Source organism: Homo sapiens, chromosome X (assembly GCF_000001405.40).
Source record: "Homo sapiens chromosome X, GRCh38.p14 Primary Assembly".
NCBI lineage: Eukaryota > Metazoa > Chordata > Mammalia > Primates > Hominidae > Homo > Homo sapiens.
Window position 1 is genome coordinate 115,506,477 of NC_000023.11, and position 25,483 is coordinate 115,531,959.

Here is a 25,483-nt window from a genome sequence, read left to right on the forward strand (position 1 = left end):
GGATCATCTGGTTGGGGGCTCCTGGCCCAGAGAACCTTTGTTCTCTGGGGCAGTGTGCCTTCCAGTGATTGCCTTGGCATAGTGGACATGGGCGAGGGGGCAGCTTGTTTCTCATTGGACAGTCTTTTTTTAAAGTGTCCTTGCAAACCACACTGATAACAAGCCCTACCGGGTGATTGGCCTGCTCCATTTTCTGTCCTCTCTGAACCACCAAGGTTTGTTTGTCCGAGGGCCATGACTAAGGCTGCAGCCTTTCTCTGATCTTGCTTTTCCTTTTGGGCCTGTTCCTCTTGGTCCCTATTATAGAACACTGAGGTTGCCAGGTTTAATAATGCCTCCAGATTTTGTTCAGAGCCCAGGGTTTGCTTTTGGAGCTTTCTCCTGATATCTGTGGCTGATTGGGTAATAAACTTATCTTTAGGATCAATTGACCCTCAAGTGATTTGGGGAGTATATTTTCTTAAGGCCTCCCATGGCCGCTCGAGGAAGGTGGAAGGATTTTCTTCCTTTCCCTGAGTTATGGTGGGCATCACTGAATAATTCATGGGCTTTTTCCCAGTTCTCCTTAGTCCTTGTAGAACACAGGTCAACAGATGTTTGTGACTCCAGTCCCCATGATCTGAGTCGAGGTCCCAGTGGGGCTCCATACTGGGGATGGCTTGCTGACTGGTAGGGAATTTGTCCCTTTCTTCAGCTGTCATTCTATCATTTACTTGACTAAGATGCCAGGTATCTCCAAACTCTTGGGCTGCAGCTAAAGCCGCATTCTTTTCATTAAAAGCCAGGGTTTGATCTAACAATAGCATGACATCTCTCCAAGAGAGATTGAAGGTTTGCCCTACACCCTGTAGGACATCTATATACCTATCAGGATCATCTGAAAACTTCCCCAGGTCTACCTTTATCTGCTTTAAATCAGAGAGGGAGAAGGGTTCATGTACGTGGGTTGGGCCAAATTCCCCTCCCCCTACAGCTTGAAGGGGACTTAGCCAATAGCCCTGGGGTTTTTGTGGTCCCTTGGAGATTTTTTTTGCTTGTTTCCCTCTGGGCAGGGGAGATTAGAGGAGACTTATCATTAATAGGAAGGGGAGCTATAGGGAGGCTAAGATATGGGGGTAAGCAGAGAGGTCCTCTTGTGGGATGTAAATTACAAGCTTTGCATAGTTGTGGATTCTCCTTCAATGAAAAGAAAGCTTGGACATAAGGTATTTCACTCCATTTGCCTTCCCTCTTACAGAAAAGGTCAAGCTGCAGGATAGTATTGTAATTTATACTTCCCTCAGGTGGCCATGTTTCCCCATCAGAGAGAGAATATTGGGGCCAGGCCATAGTGCAGATAAAAATGAGCTGCTTCTTTTTCATGGTTTATGGGTCAAATTGGTTCCAATGGCTTAGGATGCATTTCAAGGGTGAGCCTATTGATACCTGAGTGTTTCCCATCTGAAAGAAAAAACCACCCATGGTTTTGGTTTCTTTGTTCCCCACCCCCTCCCTGCCACCCGCTGCCCAAGAACCCACAATGGTCCCTGGACCCTGCTGATCAGAATAGTTGCACTCACCGACGCAGCAGCAGAAACCCCTCTTGCCCAAGAACCCACAATCAATCGTCCCTGGGCCCTGCTGATTGGAATGGTTGCGCTCACTGATGCAGCAGCAGAAACCCTAGTTTTCCTCTTAGACCACAAACAGAACCGAGGAAGGTCAGATTTAGTGGCCCTTAATGATGCATTCTTGAAAACCTGCACCCTTGCCTTTCCTCTTAGACCACAAAGAGGACCGAGAAAAATCGGATTTAGTGGCCCTTACCAATGCATTCTCAAAAACCTGTTAGAGTCCTAAGCATTTTTTCCTGTTAGTATTGGGACTTTGCCCTTGTCCTATAAAGATGTTAGGCCCCAAAACTGAAGAGGAGGGCCACACCCTGAGGGAGGGAAGGGATCTTCAGGGTTGGAAAGTGATGCCTTTTGTCCTCACCTCTCATCATATGAATAGGAAGGATATCATTTCTGAGGCTCCCCATATCCTAGCTTCAGGAATAGCTTTTGTTAGGCCTGCTAGTCTGAGAGGGGATTCTAAAATTCCACATAGTCCCCCCCACCCCTGCCGATGGGGCCTTGGGCAAAAATTATGTCTTTCTGATTAGTGAGCTTTAGTGCCTAAAAAAGGGAACAGAGTCCTGAAGTTTATATTAGAAATCATTCTTATAGGAGAAACTAGAAAAGCACCAGAGACAGGCAGTGGTTTTTAGAAGTGGGACTAGCCTTGGAGAAGAGAGGCAAGAGGAAGTTTGTCTGACAGGCATTAGGACCCAGGAGGCAAGGGTCAGGATAGATAGGATAGATGGGTGAGTCTCGCTTGGGCAACATGACTTTGAGAGTTCCGCTCATGACTACAGGGTCAACCAACTTTTTGTTGGGACCCTAGAGCTGAATGGCTTTCCTCTCTGTCGACCCTTGGCTCAGCCCAGAAGTACAGGAAAACTGGAAGCTGGTTCCAGGCAAACCAATGCTCCTAACTCTGAAGAGTTGGGGGTTGTTAGAGAGCCCTTTCCCAGAAAGCCTGACACCCGTGTCTTTAGTCCAGCAGCCACGCTAGTCACTTTTAACTGGCCGACAGGTGCCCGGTATTTAGCCCTTGAATTCTAAGGAAAAATAGGACAGAATAGCAAGCAAAAGGGGTCCGAATAGCAAGGACAGAATAGCAAGCAAAAGTGACTCACCGCTTGGCGATAGTCCCTTCGTGGTCACCAAGATGTCTGGAGTTGGTTCCTTTTGGTGGGTTCTTGGTCTTCCTGACTTCAAGAATGAAGCCACGGACCTTCGTGGTGAGTGTTACAGCTCTTAAAGATGATGTGGACCCAAAGAGTGAGCAGCAGCAAGATTTATTGTGAAGAGCGAAAGAACAAAGCTTCCACAGTGTGGAAGGAGACCCAAGCGGATTGCCACTGCTGGCTGGAGTGGCCAGCTTTTATTCCTTTATTTGTCCCCGCCCATGTCCTGCTGATTGGTCCATTTTACAGAGTGCTGATTGGTCCGTTTTACAGAGTGCCGATTGGTGCATTTACAATCCTTTAGCTAGACACAGAACGCTGATTGGTGTGTATTTACAGAGTGCTGATTGGTGCATTTACAGTCCTTGAACTAGACACAGAGCCCTGATTGGTGCCTTTTTACAGAGTGCTGATTGGTGCATTTACAATCCTTGAGCTAGACACAGAGCGCTGATTGGTGCATTTTTACAGAGTGCTGATTGGTGCATTTACAATCCTTGAGCTAGACACAGAGAACTGATTGGTGTGTTTACAATCCTCTAGCTAGATAGAAAAGTTCTCCAAGTCCCCACCTGACCCAGGAAGTCCAGCTGGCTTCACCTCTCACTTAGAACAGGAAAGAAAGGAAAGAACCCTTGGGTGAGATCCAAGTGGGCACCTGAAGGTCAAAGAGAGAAAAAAGCATCTGTAACCTTGATCCTGGGACTTTATAGGCTCACCTGTTTTCCATGATTCTTCCCTTATTGTGGGCTTTGCACATGTGCAGTGCCCTCCTTACCCTTGGGAACTGAGCAAGTGCAGTGTGTTTAGGAAGTTGTACACATACCCATCTGAGGCTTTCTTCCCTTTTTCTGGTGGTAGGTACCTGGAAGATTGTACTGAGAGGTGAAGCCAGCTGGACTTCCTGGGTCGGGTGGGGACTTGGAGAACTTTTCTGTCTAGCTAGAGGATTGTAAACACACCAATCAGTGCTCTGTGTCTAGCTAAAGGATTGTAAATGCACCAATCAGCACTGCAAAAATGCACCAATCAGCACTCTGTGTCTAGCTCAAGGATTGTAAATGCACCAATCAGCACTCTGTAAAAAGGCAGCAGTCAGCGCTCTGTGTCTCGCTAAAGGATTGTAAATGCACCAATCAGCACTCTGTAAAAACACACCAATCAGCACTCTGTGTCTAGCTCAAGGATTGTAAACACACCAATCAGCACTCTGTAAAATGGACCAATCAGCACTCTGTAAAATGGACCAATCAGCAGGACATGGGCGGGGACAAATAAAGGAATAAAAGCTGGCCACTCCAGCCAGCAGTGGCAATCCACTTGGGTCCCCTTCCACGCTGTGGAAGCTTTGTTCTTTCGCTCTTCACCATAAATCTTGCTGCTGCTCACTCTTTGGGTCCACACCACCTTTAAGAGCTGTAACACTCAACACAAAGGTCCGTGGCTTCATTCTTGAAGTCAGGAAGACCAAGAACCCACCAAAAGGAACCAACTCCGGACACAGTACTTTGCCATTTTTGTTTCTTAATGTGCATGCCCAGGAAGTTGCTTCTCCCTGGGGCCTGCCTTTAATTAACACTTTAATGTTGACAGGTGTGGACCATCAGAAAATGGCCTCTCCCTGGCACCGGCTGCCAATTTATCACCTTTAGAGAGGCAATGCAACAATTGCCAAATCATCACCTGAACTTTCTAGTGGGTCAGGGAGAGCTGTCTCCTGCCCCACTCATGCCTAACCTGTAACAAAGTGACAAGAACAGACTGGAGAAAAAGTAGGATGGAGAAACTGGACTCAAGAGCAGCTCATGGAAACTGAGCTAGGTCAATACCCAGGTTAAAATTTTATTCAGGGGATTTGGAGAAGAGCACTCCAACTTGTAGCCAGGGCAATTTCTGTGACTAGTGATCTGAAATCCTAGGCTTATGCCTGGATCCCAGTATTTTTTCATAGTTACCAGGGGCCTAACTGTTGTCCTGGCTGGCTTGAGGGTGAAGGAGTTGAAACTTAGAAGATCAGCTTGTGAATAGCCCTGTAAGACTTGGCTCTGGACTTATCTAGGCAATATCATTTGTTATCCTGGGTATGGCTTGGAACCTGAGATTTTTCACAGTGTGGCTGTCCATGCATCCTCCATGGTGGGGAGTAAAGGTCAATTCTGAAAAGGAGTACTGACATCTAAAAGGAGACAGTCTTGATCCTTTGAGGAACGGTGATGAGAAAATGATAAAAATGAGGAATATTTTGTTCCTTGATTATTCCTGGCATTTTTGCCCAAGAAAGTGTTTTAAAAAAACAAGTCTCAGACATTCTTATAGTTAACATTTCCAACACTCTGCTCTTTAAAACTGTGAATATCTTAAGTTTTGTGAAGGGAATGAAAAACGAATGATTGAAATAAATTTACACTTCAAAGAACAGTTTCTTGAAGTAATCAAAAGTGCACCCTTAAGAAAATAATTCTCTTTCCCTGCTTGTATTAGCTGCTATTTGCAAACAGTACACCATTTGGTATCAACTGATGCTTTTAATGAACCTCAGGGAGAGAAGGAAGTACAGCTAATTATTGTAAACAAGCCTGAGGGGACACAGAGTCTGTGTTGTTATGGTGGCAAAGAAATATTAATAGAATACTCAGCTGAACGTAGGCATGTATCAGCTTATTTTGTGTGTGCTCAAATTCATATTCTAGAGGTTTTACTTAATACTCCAACTTGTAATATAGTCTTATTTATATTATTAAAATTGTTCATAAGGGTAAGCAGTAGATGTAGTAGTTAAAATCATGAGCTTAAAAAAAAACAAACCAGGGTCTCGCTTTGTCACCAAGACTGAGTGCAGTGATGCAATCATCAATCATAGTTCACTGCAGCCTCAAACTCCTGAGCTCAAGCGCTCCTCCTGCCTCAGCACCCCAAAATGCTGGGATTACAGCTGGGATTACCAAACCCAGCAAAATCTTAAACTTTAAAGTCCAGGGAGCAAATACAGTATCTGCTACTTCCTGGTTGTGTGACCCCCTTAGGGGTTTCTGAATTTCTCCGAGCCTCTATCTCCATATAGTACATATTTCACAGGGTTATCATGAGAGCTGAATAAGGTAACCAATGTCAACCGATTAACAGAGTGCTTGGTTCATAAGTGCCCCTACATAACAGGTGCTATGATGCTGCTTATTTCATTCTTCTCATAATTAAGTGATTGAATCAAATTTTAAAATACCATTTCTTAAAGTCCCCCAAAGAGCACCATGATGTCCAAGTACTCTGACACTTGAGCAAGTTTGAGAATGACTTCCCAAATATAGCCCACTCTGTGCCTAAGTCCAAGACATTACAACTTAAAAGAAAATTGGACAAAAAATGGACCTTTGCATAAGCAAAAAACATGAAGAAGAGCCTCCGGGGAGGAAGACCATGCAAGGAAAGATACTGCTGAAGGAAAAATCCACATCCAAATGTCAGAGGGCTACAAAGTACAGGATCTTCAGGGAGAGTAAATATCACTGCCTTACACCTGGGATTCCATGACCATGCTAACCTTGCAGAAAAGAGAAAATCACAAGTCAGTGTTTTTCTGGGTCCATCCCCTTGCACTCTCTAGGAGTTTCACTCTCCATTCCCTACCCACACATTCCCCTAATCTCCTAGGTTCCCCCTCTCCCAGAAAAAAAAAAAAAAAACTTCTGGAAAATCAAAAAGGTGTTTCACAAGTTCTCTGGGGTCTGGCACTCATGTCTCCCATTTCTCTTCTTTTTATTCTAGAACTTCCCTAGGGGTGCATATTGTCATGGTCAACAGCCATCAAAACCAAGACCTCTACAGGTGCCTGCCAGAGGTACAACTGGTGGCCTGTAGTGTCCACGCATAGGTCGTCAGTGCCCAATAAGGAAGGTGCTGTTTTTCTTTCTTTCTTTTTAACTTTTAAGTTCAGGGGTACATGTGCAGGTTTGTTACATAGGTAAACTTGTGTCATGGGGGTTTGTTGTACAGATTATTTCATCACCTAGGTATTAAGCCTAGTACCCATTAGTTATTTTTCCTGATCCTCTCCCTCCTCTCACCCTCTAACCTTCAAAAGTCTGCAGCGTGTGTTGTTCCCCTCTGTGTGTTCATGTGTTCTCATCATTTAGCTCCCACTTATAAGTGAGAACATGTGGTATTTGGTTTTCTGTTGGTGTTATCTTTCAATACTGGAGATAGTGAGGCAGGAAAGCAGGGTCTGGAGGCAGGGAACATAAGGTTGATTCACACTTCAGCTATGACAGAAAATGTCCTCTCCATAGTAAATGATAACTTTACTTCATCCTCTTCATTTACATAGGGTGTACAACAAGTAGAGGGTATTTAAACTCAAAAAAACTCTGTAACAGTGCCCTTGAGCCCCTATGCTGGGGTCCACTCCCACACTGTGGAGTGTACTTTCATTTTCAATAAATCCCATGATTCCTTCCTTCCTTGCTTTGTGCGTTTTGTCCAATTCTTTGTTCAAGAGCCCAAGAACCTGGACACCCTCCACCAGTGACAATAGCAGTGGTACAATCAATCTCCTAAGGTGCTGCCAAAGGTGTTGGCACTGACGTTGCTGAAATGTTAGAATGAAGTTCTTTTTTTTTTTTTTTTTTTTTTTTTTTAAGACGGAGCCTCGCTCTGTTGCCCAGGCTGGAGTGCAGTGGGGTGATCTTCGCTCACGGCAACCTCCGCCTCCCAGGTTCAAGCCATTCTCCTGCCTCAGCCTCCTAAGTAGCTGGGATTACGGGTGCGTGCCACCACTCCCGGCTAATTTTTGTATTTTTAGTAGAGACGGGGGTTTCACCATGTTGGCCAGGCTGGTCTCCAACTCCTGACCTCGTGATCAGCTCACCTCAGCCCCCCAAAGTGCTGGGATTACAGGCGTGAGCCATCGCGCCCAGCTAGAATGAAGTTCTTTTCATCTTCACTTGTTTTATTAGTGATTCTTTGCTGTAAGATTCAGGCTTGGATTCAAGGGGGGCTGGGCCAGATGATACCTGTGGCATGCACTCTGGTGGGTTAATAATGTAGCCAAGCTCCTTACACAGGCTCAACTGCCTTTGAGTCAAGTTATACGACACTCTTAAGTTTAAACAATTTATTTCCCAGGAGGCTTCTTGGTGTTTATGCCTTATCAAACATCCTGATTGGCCCAGACAGTTGTGAATGATTTTTAGAGTAAAAATGACTTAATTTCATGATGGGGTTCTCTGTTTTGCTAGGATGGTCAGAAGACAGGAAAAGGGACAAGAAATTGAAGTTCACTGGACAGTTCAGTTTGTCAGGCATTTGCTGAGCACCCACTGTGTGCTTCACAACAATCTTGCAAAGCTGCCATTATTATACTTGTTTTGCTGGTAAAGAAACTGGTGCTCAATTGGTTAAAGTAATGAGATCAACATCATACAGACAGTAAATGACACAGTTAAAATTTGAAACCAGGTTTTCCCACTTCAATTGTCTCTACCTGGGGTAATATTCTGTGCTTTTATCACAAGGAATAGTTATATTTGGCGCTAGGGGATTAGGGTTAAAGGTAAATGATTAGGGTTAAATGTAAATGTAAATGATTCTTCAGCTAGGATTGGTATGCATTTGCATGTTTATTTTTCTGGGGAGAAGACCCATAGCTTTTATCATATCAAATATAATTAGGGCCGGGCGCGATGGCTCACACTTGTAATCCCAGCACTTTGGGAGGCCAAGGCGAGCGGATGACCTGAGGTCAGGAGTTTGAGACCAACCTGGCCAAAATGGCGAAACCCCATCTCTACTAAAAAAAAAAAAAAAAAATACAAAAACTAGCCTGGCATGGTGGTGGGCGCCTGTAATCCCAGCTATTTGGGAGGCTGAGGCAGGAGAATCGCTTGAACCTGGGAGGTGGAGTTTGCAGTGAGCCGAGATGGCGCCCCTGCACTCCAGCCTGGGCAACAGAACAAGACTCCGTCTCAAAAAAAAAAAAAAAATAGGAATCACTGATATATTTACTGTCAGATGGACTTAGATTTACATTCCACCTCAGACATTGATCACCTGTGTGATTTTGGCCAGTTAGTTAAGCTCTTGGAACCTCATTTTTCTCATTAGTAAAATGGTGTACATGAGACCATCTCCTAGAATGTCATTCCCTAATTGTGTGAACCTACTTGTTATTTTAGATCTCTCAGAGGTTTTTCCTAGCTTCTGTTCTCTCTCTAGCCCCTTAAATCAGTTTATCAGGCATTTGTGACTACTGCTTATATTCTCAGACTGCATTTGTGCCTGGACCTTCTCACCAGCAGGTGGATGGTTGAAGAAACTGTGGTACATTCATACAAGGAAATACTACCTAGTGACAAAAAGGAACTATTTATCCATGTGACTTTGTACATAGATCTCAAGAGCCTTAGGCTGAGTGAAAAAAAAAAAAAAAGTCACTCAAAAAGCTACATAATGGCCAGGCACAGTGCCTCACGCCTGTAATCCCAGCACTTTGGGAGGCAGAGGTAGGCCCATCGCTTGAGCCCAGGAGCTCAAGGCCAGCCTGGACAGCATAACAAAACCCCGTTTCTACAAAAAATATAAAAATTAGCTGGGTGTGGTGGTGCATGCCTATAGTTCCAGCTACTCAGGAGGCAGAGGTGGGAGGATCACCGAAGCCCAGGAGGTCGAGACTGGTGAGCCAAGCTATGATCATGCACTGTACTCCAGCCTGGGTGACAGAGTGAGACCTTATCTCAAAAAAAAAAAAAAAAAAAAAAAAAGCTAAAGACTATATGATTCTATTTATATGACATTCCGGAAAAAACGAAACTACAGGGACAGAAATCAGATCGGATGTTACCAAAGGCTGGAATAGAGGCATTGATACAAAGTGTGTGAAATGCAGAATTTTTGACCCTATGACCTTTACTACTGTTGTTATGCCCATGAATACATTATGTTACATGGCAAAATAGACTTTGGACATGTAATTAAAGTTACTAATCAGTTGACCTTAAAATAGCAATATCATCCTGGATTATCCAGGTGGGCCCAGTGGAATCACATGACCTTTTAAAAGCAGAAGTCAGAGAGGTCTGAAGTACAAGAAGGATTCAACTCACTGCTGACTTGAAGGTGGAGAAGGCCAAGTGTCCAGAAAATGGGGACCTCAGTCCTAGAGCTGCAGGGAACAGAATCTGGCCAACAGCCTGAACGAGCTTCTAAGCAGATTTTACTCAGAGCCTCCAGAAAGGAACTCAGCCTATGCAACACTTTGATTTCAGTTTTGCGAGATCCTTAGCAGAGAGCCCCACCATACTGTCCTAACTTCTGACATACGGGAGTGTGCTACAGTAAAATGGGTGCTGCTTTCAACCACTAAGTTTGTGGTAACTTATTATTCCAGTAACAGAAAACTAACACAAAAGGGCATGAAGGAATTTTTTTGATAGTAGAAATACTCTGTATCTTTATTATGATGATGGTTATACAACTGAATAAGTTCGTTAAAATTCTTTGACCCATACATTTTAAAAGACTAAAGTTTACTTTATGCAAATCATACCTCAATAACCCTAAAAAAGGTAAAACTCATCAAATTGCACTTTAAATGGGTAAATGGGTAAATCTTATTGTTTGTAAACTATACTACAAATAAAATGGATTTAAAAAGAAACAACAGGCCAGTACAGTGGCTCATGCTTGTAACCTCAGCAATTTGGGAGGCCTAGGTGGGAGAATAACTTTTTTTTTTTTTTTGAGACTGAGTCTCACTCTATCACCCAGGCTGGAGTCCAGTGATGGAATCTTGGCTCACTGCAACCTCTGCCTCCTGGGTTCAAGCAATTCTTGAGCCTCAGCCTCCCGAGTAGCTGGGATTACAGGCGTGCACCACCACACCGGCTAATTTTTGTATTTTTGGTAGAGACGGATTTCACCATGGTGGCCAGGCTAGTCTCGAACTCCTGACCTCAGGTGACTCAACCGCCAAGGCTTCCCAAAGTGCTGGGATTACAGGTGTGAGCCACCATGCCTGGCCTGTTGGAGGATTACTTAAAGCCAGGAGTTGACAAGAATGAGCAACAAAGTGAGACCCCCATATCTACTAAAAAAATAAAAAAAATTAGCTGGGCATAGTGGTGCCTGTCATCCCAGTTACTTAGGGGGCTGAGGCAGGAGGATCACTTAAGCCCAGGAGTTTGAGTCTGCAGTGAGCCATGATTGTGTCACTGAACTCCAGCCTAGGCAACAGAGTGAGACCCTGTACATACATACATACATACATACATACATACGAATTAAAAGAAACAACAAAATTCTAGTTCAAGAGTGATCTATTAGAGTTTTCCCTTGCTCCCGTTTTCCCCCAGTAGAGATAATCAACCATGCATTTTTTCCTACTATGACTGTACTTTATTATTTACTTCTATTTTTCTCCCAAGACTATATTGTTATTTTGAATTATATGTGTGTTGCTAGTAGACTCCCTGAGCAGCGGGACCATGTCTTCATCTCTGGATCATGAGTGCCTAAAATACAGTAGGTGCTATATCATTTTTATTTGATTTGCATGATTGTACATGAATATATCTAAAACTTTCTAAATGTGTCTTTCAAAATTTTTCTGGCTGGATCTCTTCCCAGTGGTAATAAATTGTATATATTTATTACTGCATAAAGCATTGCTATTTTAAAATTCAAAACCACTTCCTTAAACGTCAAGGGAATCACAACCAATTTTTAGTATTCTTGAATATAGTGAAATTGCTCATGTGTACATCACCTCTTACACTTCATTTGTAGATTTTTATGGCATATCCCTTTTAGATCATTTTTTTTCTAAAAAGGAATCCAGCTTGAAATGCTATTTCAACAATACAGATGGTCCCTGACTTATGATTGTTTGACACAGGATTTTTCAACTGTACGATGGTGCAAAAGAGATACACAGACAATAGAAACTGTACTTTGAGTACCCATACAACCATTTTATCTTTCATTTTCAATACAGTATTCAATAAATTACATGAGATATTAAACAGTTTATGATAAAATAGGGTTTGTGTTACATCAGCCCAAATATGCTGATGTAAGTGTTCTGGGCACATTTAAGGTTGGCTAGGCCAAGCTAGGATATTCAGTAAGTTAGGTGTATTACATGAATTTTCAACTCACAATATTTTTAACTTATGACAGGTTTATCAGGATGTAACCCCATCAAAAGTCGAGGAGCATCTGTTTATATTTCCATTTATATCATAAATATTTACACTTTTATTTGTCAATTATACCTTAATAAAGCTGGGGGGAAATATATATGTCCATCACAGGTAGGATTGCCAAGTAAAATACATTATGCCCCATTAAATTTGAATTTCAGATAAACAACAAACAATTTTTAGTATAAGTGTGTTCTGTGCAATATTTAACTGAGCATCCTTTGTTGGGAGGGTGGCTGACTCTGGCAATCCTAGTCGAATGGTACACATGACCAAGTTTAAGGCTAAATCAGGAAGAGATTGAAGCATCCTTCTTTAGATTGTGGTTAAGAGTGGTGAAAATAAGTTTTGATTAAACAGTAAAATGACACCAAGTAGAAACGGGTGTTATTTATTAAGCAAGACATTGTTTTGTGTAGCAGATGCCTCATGAAAACACTCTAGCTCAGCTAGATGCTTTTTGTTAGAGACCTGGAAAAGTAGGATTGTTGCCTTGTATTACAAGGGCATTTTAAAGTTGTGTTCTATAAATTATAAAACTTGTCTGGGCCCACATTCTACCTCAACATCTGCCTACCCCAGGCTTCCTACCTCTTCAGGACGGGTGAGATGCCTCTAGTCCTTAGATAGCAAATTCTTGTCACACCTGGTGCCATTCTCCCAACCAAGGCAAATCATCCCAGCTTACAGTACAATTTATCTACTGAGCCTGAAAACAGCCTCAGAGTCTTTCTTAGCACTGTGTGTTTTTTTAAAACAGCTATTATTAATTCATTAGAATTTGCACCAAAAATTAAACCTGTTTAGCATCACTAGTCTCACAGCTGCCATGTTATTCACTGCACAAGGGCACCTGAATTAGAGAATAAAATGGGGCAATACCCAACTCATGCTCTGTACATCATGGTCTGGGGCTGCATTCCAAGAGTCTTTTTCTAAATCACATAAGGCACAGACTAGTATCAGCTCTGTCTGTTCTAGGGGAATAAGCAGGGGGTTACTTGGTATAATTGGTGAAATTGATAAGGGAGAGAATATTCCGAAGAAAGAGAGATGAGTTGAAGCATCTATAGTTGAAGAATGGCTTGAACCTTGGCTTCTGAGCATGCTCAACAGTACATGCCCTTCAGTTGGAGAAACTTCAATATAACGTTAAACCAGCAGGGCATGGTGGCTCACGTCTGTAATCCCAGCACTTTGGGAGGCCAAAGCAGGTGGATTGCTTGAGGCCAGGAGTTCTACATCAGCCTGGGCAACATGACGAAACCCCATCTCTACAAAAGAATATAAAAAATTACTCGGTCATTGTGGTGCATGCCTGTCATCCCAGCTACCCCGGAGGCTGTGGTGGGAAAATCACCTGAACCCGGGAAGTTGAAGCTGCAATGAGTCATGATTGTGCCACTGCACTGCAGCCTGGGCGACAGAGTGAGACCTAATCTCCAAATATATATATATATATATATATACACACACACACACACACACACGCACACACACACACATATGTGTGTGTGCGTGTGTGTGTGTATAAAACATTAGACCAAAAGCAGTTTTCTATTTAATGATTCATTTTTGTTGTTTGTTTAGTTATGTTCTGTATTAAAGAAATACATACATGACATCCTGATTTTCCACAATAGAGAAATTAAGTGATAAATGATTCATAGATCTATAGTTCCCCAGGTGATTCTGATGTACACAACTTAGTTGAGGCCCAGGTAGCCTAAAGAGTATGACAATTGGCCTGGGGGGAGAATCAAACTAGAACCCGTATGAACATAAATAAGACTGTTCACCTGCCCCTTACCTGTAGGTAAGGGCATCCTGACATTCACCACTCTGTAATGAGAAGCTCCTGGTAAATGGGGATGTGTGGGACTGAAGAAATTGTCAGAAATTCAAGAAATTGAGTTAGAGAAAATAGAATAGCCAAACTACAGCCCAAGGATGAGGCCACTGGAGATAAAACTGTTTAGGACATATGCTCTGGCAAGATACCAGTAACAAAATCTGGCAGCCACACAGCTCTCTGATGACGCTTACCTTTAGCCAGTTTTAATATGAAGAGTTATCATTTTATATATAGCTTATATCCCGCCTTGCTTTCCGTCCCCTTCACCGTTTCAGTTGCTCGTCTCAGGGTCTTCTCCAACTCTATTATTCCTGTCTTGTACATAGACCAGAACTACAAAAAAGAGCCCGGATGCAGACACCTCAAGGATTTACAAAAAAAAAAAAAAAAAATAGAATGACTGCTTACTGGTTTTTCCTCCAATTTTTCTTAATGATGTTCAACATTTTCCTGATTATTTTGACCGAAACAATACTTGGGCAGCTGTCTTCAGGAGAGAGTCTATAAAGGACCCTTGGCACCCTTTCCAGGGATGACAACTCAGAACTTGTCATTTTAACATATGCTTGAAGAAATCAAGAAGTAAGGAGATTTTAGGGGTGGAAATATAGATGTGATTTGAAAAGCCAATATGAATAGAGATAAGTTGTTGGGATGGGCTTGTATGGTAGGAAAAAAAAAAGAGTAGAGGCCAGGCGCAATGGCTCACACCTGTAATCCCAGCACTTTGGGAGTCTGATGCAGGGGGATTTCTTGAGCCCAGGAGTTCAAGACAAGCCTGGACAACATAATAAAACCCCCTCTAAAACTAGCTGGGCATGGTGGCACTTGCCTGTAGTCCGACATATTTAGTAGGCTGAGGCAGGAGGATCGCTTGAGACAAAGAAATTTGATGTTATGGTGAGCTATGGTTGTGCCATTGCACTCCAGCCTGGGCAACAGAAAGAGACCCTGTCTCAAAAAAAAAAAAAAAAAAAAGCAATGGGTAAAGATGTATAACTGCCTGGGGAGTAATTCTGTCTAGCTAGAATATAATGTGAATAAAGTCATGATGGATGCTGGGGTTATAAATGTGGGTTGGGACCAATGTACTCATGTACTTTCTCTTCAAAGATAATTTGTGAAAATGATAATTTAGACCAATCTCAAGGCTAATTTTAAGAAGATTCTGCCATTAACAGTTAAAATATCTCTAAAATGGCATAATAGAATCTGTTCTATTTTCCTCACCAGAATACTGTGATTACCAGATGGCACAAGGGGTATGGAAGACCTTGGGTAATTGACAAGTTGTCAATTACAATTACAGAGTGGTCATATTGCCTGCAAAATTCCCCATCAGCTCCTCCCACTCATCTCTAAGCTCTTACATTACATGTCCTGCAATGCTATGTGGACTGTAATCAAAACTTTTTGGTTTAAAAACTTTCAAAGGTGGTTTTTTTTTTTTAAATTTAAAGTTCTTTTGTCTGAGGCTCCCACTTTTGTATCTACTTTCTACTTATCCCAAACTCTAGTATAGCATGATTTTCTGTTATGGAAATCAAGCAGGTTCTCTCCATTAAGTTCTGTGCTTCTGTGTTTTCATAATCCTAATGTTTACTCTCCATTTAACCAGATTACTCAATGTATCATGAGACTATCTGGAGTCTGTAGTTTCCAGAAGCCTCTCTGGAGGATTTGTCTTGCATTTATTCTGAAGAATGCTCTGCCAGAAATAAAAAGTTGACAGACAGCAGATTTTTAAGAGTATTGGAAGGCATAAAAATATAATGGCTAAGAGAGGAGTTGGATTGCTTCAATCTATAATCCTGGCTTTATCTCTTTCCTCTCTATAATACAGGGTCGTTTCAACTGTTGAGTTAGGTAACATATGGAAACTGCTTAGCACCAGGCATGATGTATACGGAGTGCTTAATTAGTGTTACCTATTATCATCATTGTCAACACTATATAAATAACAAAGTTGACATTTGATTTGTAAGTATTCTATATGAATATGTATGCAAAAGCATTTCAATCTAATAAGCAACCACAAGGCTAATCTTCATCTCATATGTGTAGTCAAAGTACATAGATTCATGGTTTATGCCTCAGATAATTGAAAACCCACCACTTTCATTTAGGTGGCTGTTTGGAGAAAATATGTCACATTTGCATAATGCTTTATGATTAAAAAGAACCTTTTAAGCATATTTGCACTTAAGCCTTATAATAAATTATTAGAAAGATGACTGGACTTTTCCAATACTACACAATAATTGTGCAATAAAACTGATATTAGAACCTAAGTCTTGATCCTTGTATCATGAAAGGCTTCTTTATTATTTGTTAAGATCCCCTGGACCATCTTGACATCACAAAACAAGTATATGTTAGAAAAGTTTTTATTTTAAGAAAAATATCCAAAAGTTTGCAGCCAGACACAGTGACTCACGTCTATAATCCCAGCACTTTGGGACGTTGAGATGGGAGGATTCATTGAGCCTAGGAGTTCAAGACCAGCCTAGGCAACACGGTGGAAACCCCATCACTATGAAAAAAGAAAAACATTTTAATTAAATAAAATAAAAATAAATAAAAGTTTGTATGGCAAATTTATAAAGAAATTTATAAGACCCAAGGTGACCAACGGAATAGGCATAATAGAATGCCCATTCCCCTCAAAGCCTGAAAAAAATGTAGGACTTTCTTTATGACTGCCCAGATTGTAAATTTCATCATGTTTCAGGCTCTCAGACCTCAATGGTCAGAGATACTCAAGGGGAATTTTATTTAAGACTATTAAATGTAAAAAGTAGCTACAGATGGAGTACTTCTATAATTCTACTTCATCCTTGGTGAAAGATATTTTCATTCCATGCTGAGAACTGTTCTTTTTCCATCACTCAGATTACTTTATGAGCCATTTGCTTTGCCAGTAACTACTTTTTTTCCTCTTTTAATGGAATGAAATGGACAAGGTTAAGGCTCATTATCAAATTGGAATGCAGAAGCAACATTTACCATACTTCAAATTTGCCACTGTAGAAACTGTAAAAAATATATGTATATTCTTTGTATAACATTATGTATGTTAATAATATCAAAAAATAATAAAATAAAATCCCCAGAATTTTCTGCTTTCTCAAATAAATTCATTAAGTGTAAAGAACTGGTTTTTAAGATCTTCTGATTTAGACATTCAAAGTATTGAAAGGGTAGATTCCAGATTGATAACCATAAGGGTCTTTAAAGTGGCATTTTTAGGCAGGGCGTGGTGGCTCATGCCTGTAATCCCAGCATGTTGGGAGGACAAGGCGGGTGGATCTCCTAAGCTCAGGAGTTTGAGACCAACCTGGGCAACATGGAGAAACCCCGTTTCTACCAAAAATACAAAATGAGCAACATGGAGAAGTCCCATTTCTACCAAAAATACAAAAAAAAAAAAAATAGCCTGCCATGGTCACGTGCCTGTGGTCCCAGCTACTCAAGAGGCTGAGGTGGGACAATCGCTTGAGCAACAGGGAATATATATATATATATTCTTTTTTACAGTTTCCGCAGTGGCAAATTTGAAACACACACACACACACACACACACACACACACACACACACACATAAGTTTGTTACCCACTGAAAAACTCTGAAGAGACCTTGATGCATTCAAAGCTATGAAGTTTAGTGAAATATTTAAACTCGCTAAAAACAAGCAATTGAAGCAAGATAGATCATGTTTCTTAATATTTTAATTGTCCAAAAGGTTTTGAATTCTCAGAATGTAGAGTTATTCTATCTGTACATGAATACAAAATCAGTTACCAGTCATTACATAATAAATATATTTTATTTTTATTTCAATCCTCCTTCTTCTGTAACAAACTAAATATCAACAAATTTTAGGCTGGGCATGGTGGCTCACATCTGTAATCCCAGCACTTTGGGAGGCTGAGGCAGGCGGATCACCTGAGGTCAGGAGTTCAAGACCAGCCTGGCCAACACGGTAAAACCCCATCTCTACTGAAAATACAAAAATTATCCAGGCTTGGTGGTGGGTGCCTGTGGTCTCAGCTACTCAGGAGGCTGAGGTACAAGAATCACTTGAACCCGGGAGGTGGAGGTTGTAGTGAGCCAAGATCATGCCACTGCACCCCAGTCTGGGTGAGAGAGGGAGACTCTGTCTCAGAAAAAAGAAAAGAAAAGAAAACAAAACAAAACAAAACAAATTTTATTTCTGGATATGAGTAGGTGAATAGATCACACTGATAGAGAGAATGGGGAAAAAGGAATGATAACTGTGTAGCACAGCATCTATTCTAAGGTTCATATTCTATATGGAACAGGGCATACTACATCACTTTTTGTTATTTTCAAAAAATATAAAGGTACTCAAAGTTCAAGATTAATGATTTTATACTATAACACCTCAATGCACTAAAGAAACAATTACAGAGAAATCAATATAACATTATTGGTAAGACATGCACACTGACAACTTGGCTATCTGCTTGATTGAGTATAAAAGTGTGGTGTATGTGCCTTCAAAACAGGGCCTAGATGTTTAGCATAAGAATAAAACTGCAGATACTTTTTTAAAATGCTACTTTATTTATTTATTTATTGAGATGGAATCTCACTCTGTCACCCAGGCTGGAGTGCAGTGGTGCAATCTCAACTCACTGTAACCTCTGCCTCCCCAGCTCAAGCGATCCTTCCACCTCAGCCTCTTGAGTAGCTGGGACCACAGGCATGCAACCATGCCTGGCTTTTTTTTGTTGTTGCTGTTGTTGTTTTTGTATTTTTGGCAGAAACGAGGTTTCTCCATGCTGCCCAGGCTGGTCTCAAACTCCCGAGTTTAGGAGATCCACCCGCCTTGGCCTCCCAACATGCTGGGATTACAGGCATGAGCCACCACGCCCTGCCTAAAAATGCCACTTTAAAGACCCTTATGGTTATCAATCTGGAATCTACCCTTTCAATACTTTGAATGTCTAAATCAGAAGATCTTAAAAACTAGTTCTTTCTTTACACTTAATGAGCTTATTTGGGAAAGCAGAAAATTCTGGGGATTTTATTTTATTATTTTTTGATATTATTAACATACATTGTAGATAGATCTACAATGCCAATTTATAACTAAGGCAATTATCTGAGTCAGACCAAAATATCCACTCTTACCTGCATTTATGAAGTGTTTTGCTCTGCTCTTCAATGCTCAAGTTGCAGCACTGAAGTGGTGTCTCAAGTGATAATAAAATTGATGTTAAACTCTCTATATATCTTAAATAATAAGTCTTAGAAGCGGAACAGGAGTGATCCTCTGTTAACCACCTACTTTACTAAATGAGGAAACTCAAGCCGAGAGAGGTGAAGTGGCTTGCTGCATATCGTGAAACTAAATGTTGGCACAGCTGGAGCACAACTAGGTCTCCAGTTTTACGGTCTAGTGTACTTCTGACTTCAAGAGACTGACTCAGGCCGGGCGTGATGGTTCATGCCTGTAATCCCAGCACTTTGGGAGGCTGATGTAGGAGAATCACTTGAGCCCAGGAGTTCGAGTTCAGCCTGGGCAACATGGCAACACCCTGTCTTTATCAAAAAAAAAAAAAAAAAAAAAAAAGAAAGAAAGAAAGAAAAAATAAGAGACTGCCACAAGTTTTAATTGGTTGCGCCCAAAAGTATAAGATAAATTAATCAGGCAGTACATCTCCATGCATACCAACCATACGGGAGTTCATTCTCAGCAAGGCTGAAAAAAAAAAAGTATATAAAGATTTCTGTTTAATGGAACTTTCTTGCTTTTAAAATGATAACAGAAGTGGCTGGGCGTGGTGGCTCATGCCTGGAATCCCAGCACTTTCAGAGGCCGAGGTGGGTGGATCACTTGAAGCCAGGAGTTCAAGACCAGCCTGGACAACATGGTGAAACTCCGTCTCTACTAAAAATACAAAAATTAGCTGGGTGTGGTGGGGTACGCCTGTAGTCCCAGTTACTCAGGAGGCTGAGACAAGAGAGTCGCTTGAACCCAGGAGGCAGAGGTTGCAGTAAGCCAAGATAGCACCACTGCACTCCAGACTGGACGACAGACTTATTATATCTGGTAGATTTTTTTGTAGATTCTTCTCTGTAGAAGATCATGTTATGTGTGAATAAGGAGAGCCTTAACTGCTTTCCTTCCAGTCTGGATGCCTTTTATTTCTTGCCTTATTACACTGAGTAGAACTTCTAGTATGATGTCGAATAGAATTGGTGAGAGCAAACCTCCTCATCTTGTTCCTGATCTTAAGAGCAACCCTTTCACTTTTTTCCCCTTTATTGATACATAATATTTGACATATTTATGGGGAAATTGTGAGTGCTTCTTACATGCATAAAATGTGTAATGATCAAGTCAGGGTACGTGAGGTATCCATCACCTTGAGTATTTATCATTTCTATGAGTTGGTAACATTTCATGTCCTCTTTTCTATCGAAAAGCATTCACTTTTTTAAACCATTAATGTGATATAGGCTACAAAGATTTCATGGACAACTTTGGCCAAATTGAGAAAGTTTCTTTCAATTTCTAGTATCCTGAGATACTAGACATGACATCTTTTAAAACTTTTGTAGGTTTTTGAAGGTTAAACAAAAGATGAAATAATCATCATAAACAGAAGGACATCAATGTTTTTCCATTAAAAAGATTCCTGAGAGGGCAGATGTTATATATGAAAGAGCCTAAATAGAGTTCTTTTTATGAGACAGGGTCTTCCTCTGTTGCCCAAGGTGAAGGGCAATGGTGCAATCACTGCTCACCACAACCTTGACCTGCTGGGCTCAAGTGATCCTCCCACCTTAGCCTCCCACCTTGCCTCCCAAGTAGCTGACACCACAGGCGTGCATCATCATGCCTTTTATTTTATTTCATTTTTGTAGAAACAAAGTCTTAATATATTGCCTAGGCTTGTCTTGAACTCCTGGCCTCAAGCAATCCTCCTGCTTTAGCCTCACAAAGTCCTGGGATTATAGGTGTGAGCCACCGCACCCGGCCTAAATAGAGTTCTTATGCATTTCTAGAGACAGTTCAGGCACTTATTGTTGCATGTCCTTCTGCAAATGACTTCAAAAGAAGAGGGTGTAAAAATCATATTTTTAATAAAAAAGTTGAAGAAAGTACAAGAAATGTTTCAAAAGCAATAATTTTTAAAATATAATGATTTTAAAAGTGATTTCAACATCACATATGTCTGCCATAATGGAATTATAACCTTAATAGGAAGATGTCTCAAGTTTTGTAAAAAGGTTTTCTTATGACACAATAAAGCAAATACTAAAAATCAGTAATATTTCCTACAAGTTTTGGTTGCATACCTGGGTGTGGTGGCATGTGTCTGTAGTCTCAGCTATGCTGGAGGCTGAGGTGGGAGGATCACTTGAGCCCAGGAATTTGAGGCTGCAGTAAGCTATGATCATGCCACTGCACTCCAGCCTGGGCAACAGAGCAAGACCATGTCTGGAAAAAAAAAGTGTGAAGAAGATGTATTTTTTTTGTTGTTGAAACGAGGTCTCACTCTGTTGCCCAGGCCAGTCTTGAATTCCTGGTCTCAAGCGATCCTCCCACCTCAGCCTCCCAAAGTGCTGGGATTACAGGCATGAGCCATGATGCCCAGCCTGAATTATGAACTTTTCGTGCATTTGTGAACCCTCTGATGGACGCATGAATTGAATGTTCATTGAAATGATCAGAACAGGTAAAGCATCTGATTTATATATTTTGGGAAGTGAGAGTCTTTAATTACAGGAAAAGTCCACATGAGGTCTACATACTTATTTTTCAAATTGATGTGACTCAGTGCCATAGACTCCCTCCCTCCCCCACCCATTTATACTGAGCCTTCATATTCAGAACAGCAGAAAATTGAGGCACTTAAAGTTGAAGCACTTATCTGAATGATTAAACCCAGATCAACAAGTGAAGAGCAATTGTAACAGCACAAAAAGAGGACCAAAAAGGGGCTTTTTGTTCACTTTTTTTTTTTTTGCAGAGGGGTTCAGGGCTTTAAAATAATTCATTTATGAACTGAATGGTCTTCTTCACAGAAGATCTTTCCATTCATTCAAAAAAATCTCATATGCTGAGGAGACATGCAGGAATGGGAAAAGATGAAAACCCAGGGAATAAAAAGCAAACCTGCCTCCTAAAAATTAACCAGTCAGCTGGAATATTACATAATCAAGCATGGTTTTCTAAGGTTAAGGTTGCTAGATATGGCATGAGGCATACTTATACTAAAAAAAATTATTTGTTGTTTATCTCAAATTCAGATTTAACTGGGCATACTGTAATTTTATTTGCTAAATCTGGCAACCTAATAAGGTGTTATACCCTCACGTCTGTGGCATTTAAAATTCAGAGCTGGGTTTTATAATTTAACGTCCTTTAAAAAACAAAGCATTTTTACACCGCTGTGTGCAGGGGTGGGGGCGGGGGAAACTCTTTCTTCCCTGACTGTAAAAAAAATTTTTGAAACCTAACTGTTCCATGATTTTCGTAAACGTTTTGCAAAATTTATTTACAGAAATTAGATTCTAAGTTCCTATACGATGTCAACATCAATGTAAGACAAAGTTCTAGGATTGTAAGTTTTCCAGTTATCCGTGGATGCACTACCTTCTCAATCAGAATGTTGTATTTATTTATTAATGCCAGACTTTATGTTTCAGTGAGCTTGGAGGAAGGGGAAAAATTCAGGAACACCACTTTGCTATTAGTCCTGGCGCAGTGAGCACAATGTAGGCTCTGTATCTGCTTAGTACTTGCTGAGCAACAGAGGGTTAACATCTTTTTCAATGTTGCCACTCAAATTGCTGCTTACCATCTAAAGTACAGGGTACAGAGTGGAGAGAAAGGCCACAAGGGTCATTATGCTTTGGTGGAAAAAGACGTATCATTATTTTCATTCTATACAATGCCAACAACTCATTTATTAAAGGACAAAATTGGAAATTCTCCACTTTACTCTTGAGGACTGTTTTATTTCCACAACCTGAGGAAAAGAAAGAAGGCTTTACAAATGGATCGCTGCAATTGTCAGGACCTTTTGATGCCAACAGGCGGCCCTCATCCAATTACACTATGCTCATTGTTGAAGCAATTGAATTTCATTTCTTCCTTATGTTGAGTTTAAATTTTTTTTGGATGTTGTCTAGCTGCTGCTGTAGAGTTGAAATATTTTAACATCTGGTAGCTGAGGCTTGCTTCATGAAACCGACATATTATTTGGTCAGTCACTGAAGGAAATTAATTACATAAGGTTTCAGCCTGGAGAAATCTCTCTCTTCTGTAAAGACATATTCTATTTCATTTGTACCACCATGTGTCGTTTATTCCTTCTTGCTGTGTATTATAGTTGTGTGCATGGTTCATCTCCCCTATTCAACCATGTAGTTTGCTCATCTTAATCTGCTCAGCCAGAATTTTATATTATACACCACAGTTTCTTTTAGTTTAGTTTTTTGTTTGTTTGTTTGTTGTTAATACAGACACTCTCCCTCTCTTGCTCAGTCTGGTCTCGAACTCCTGGGTTGAAGCCATCCTGCCGCTTCGACCTTCCAAAGTGCTAGGATTACAGGGGTGAGACACCATGCCCAGTCACATCACATCATAGCTTTTGTTTTTGTTTTGTTTTTTGTTTTGTTTTGTCTTTTTTTGTAGGGGAAGTGTCATAGGTTTTCGATAAATATTTGTTGAATTTGGCCAGGCGCAGTGGCTGATGCCTGTAATACCAGCATTTGGGGAGGCCAAGTCGGGAATTTGAGACCAGCCTGGGCAACACAGTGAGACTCTGTCTCCAAAATAAATAAATAAATAAATAAATAAATAAATAAATAAAAAGTAGCTGGGCGTGGTAGCCTGCACCTGTAGTCCCAGCTACTTGGGTGGCTGAGGTGAGAGGATGGTTTGAGCTCAGGAGTTCGAGGCTGCAGTGAGCCATGATTGATGCCACTGCACTCCAGCCTGAACGACAGAGCATGACCGTGTCTCAAAAATGGATAGATAGATAGATAGGTAGGTATATATATAGATAGATAGATTTGTTGAATGAATGAATGTGTGAACTGTTTATATATATATATTTGTGTGTGTGTGTGTGTGTGTGTGTGTGTACAATGATCAGAGGCATACCCAGATGTGTGGGGCTTCCAAGCAAATATCTCCAAAAAGAACTTCTTTCCTTTTATTAACTTGAAATAAAAGACTTTAGATTTCTGTTATCCAGGACTACTTGGACTCAGAGAGAAGGAGGAGAAAGGTTTTAGCATTTTCCCCATAGACAAAATCTAAACTTCTTGGTCCCCTATGGGTAGATAGAGAGGTTTAATTATATTAAATAAAATTAAATAATAGTGGTAAGAAGTGAGTGTTAACTCTAAGTGCAGTGTATTCCAGAGTCTTAAAGCAGGTCTTTTATCCATCATTAGTTGGATTTTAGGTCAGTGTATTTTTGCATATCTGGAGGATGACTTGAATGTGGCCAGAGAGGATGACAAACACTGGAGGGCTAGAAATGTTACTCTGGAATGGGGAAAAGTGATGTGAAAAAAACCTTGGATACAACCATGGGAAGAACAGTGCATAGTAAGAAAAATGAGGAAGGGGCCAAGTGAGAAAAGTTGGAGGCTAGTTTAGAGATTCCGCTGAGTAGAAGACCAGGAGAATATATTCAGTATTCAAGAGGCTAAGGACATAATTTTGAATCCAGAGTACATTCCAGATCAAAGGCAATGCTCTTCCTTAAAAATACAGGTGGGAGGGAAGGAGAAAACATGAAAGACAAAGAGAATGAAGAGATAGATGATGAGACAAGCAAAAAATGCTAAAACTAGTGAGGAAGAATTGAAGACCCCACAGAATAAGGCTAAAGTAATGAGTTTAGGCACTATACTGGAAAATCGGATAAGACTTATTGAAATTTGATCAATCAATTTAAAAACGATACTGGTCCTTACTATGTACCAGTCATTGTACCAGGTTCTTTTTCTATTATATCTTATTTAATCTTCAAATAACTATTTATTTGAAGTTAATAATAAATAGTAACTTATTTATTATATCTTATTTAATCTTATTTAATCTTCAAATATCTATTTAAATAAAAATGTTTATCTCCATTTTCCAGATTTCAAAAATGTGGCTCATATACATCATATTCAAGATCACACACATAGTGGGAAATTGAGAAAGAATTCCAACTCAGAAATAATTTAAGGGGTTCCTGACAGACTTGAATCCCACATCTATTCCACTTAATGAATGGAGCTTGCCTCAGAAGGGTTCAAATAACTATGCATCTCTATATTTACTGCTATATAGTTTCTTTGTTACTCTCTGAGATTTGATGACACTGGAATATAGTAATTTTGTAATAAATAAAGGCAACTGAAATCCTAAAGAGAATGGAGGTCAGAAGGGAAATTACATTGCTCAGAAAGCATATTTCCCCTTTCCTGAAGGTGTGACAACAGAAAAATACATGCCTTGACTCCCTCCACCACCTCTCAACCCCCATATCCCTCAATTCCCTAATTCTAGGAACTAGTTTTATGTAGTCACCTCTTACAGGTGTGCCCTCACTTCATGCGCCAACCCAATCCAGACTCTAAATGGGGGAGGGGAAAGGCAAAGCAACTTGGTGGCTATTCA

General features: G+C 40.7%; 1 long non-coding RNA gene across 2 annotated transcripts in view, besides 1 other annotated feature; it reads right to left on the reverse strand.

Annotated features, from left to right (window-relative positions):
• Window positions 1,133-1,668: an enhancer, noted in NCBI's record as "OCT4-NANOG hESC enhancer chrX:114741988-114742523 (GRCh37/hg19 assembly coordinates)". NCBI's record gives its function as "activates a minimal SCP1, AML or CMV promoter by ChIP-STARR-seq in primed H9 embryonic stem cells {active_cell/tissue: H9 hESC(primed)}" and the evidence as "EXISTENCE:reporter gene assay evidence [ECO:0000049][PMID:30033119]".
• PLS3-AS1 (PLS3 antisense RNA 1) overlaps window positions 11,713-25,483 on the reverse strand; it is a 44,543-nt gene continuing 30,772 nt past the window's right edge. The window contains 3 exon segments of one of the 2 annotated variants that reach the window (NR_110383.1): window positions 11,713-13,235; window positions 14,008-14,177; window positions 21,151-21,292. This is a non-coding gene — a long non-coding RNA (PLS3 antisense RNA 1). 2 annotated transcript variants of the gene reach the window in all.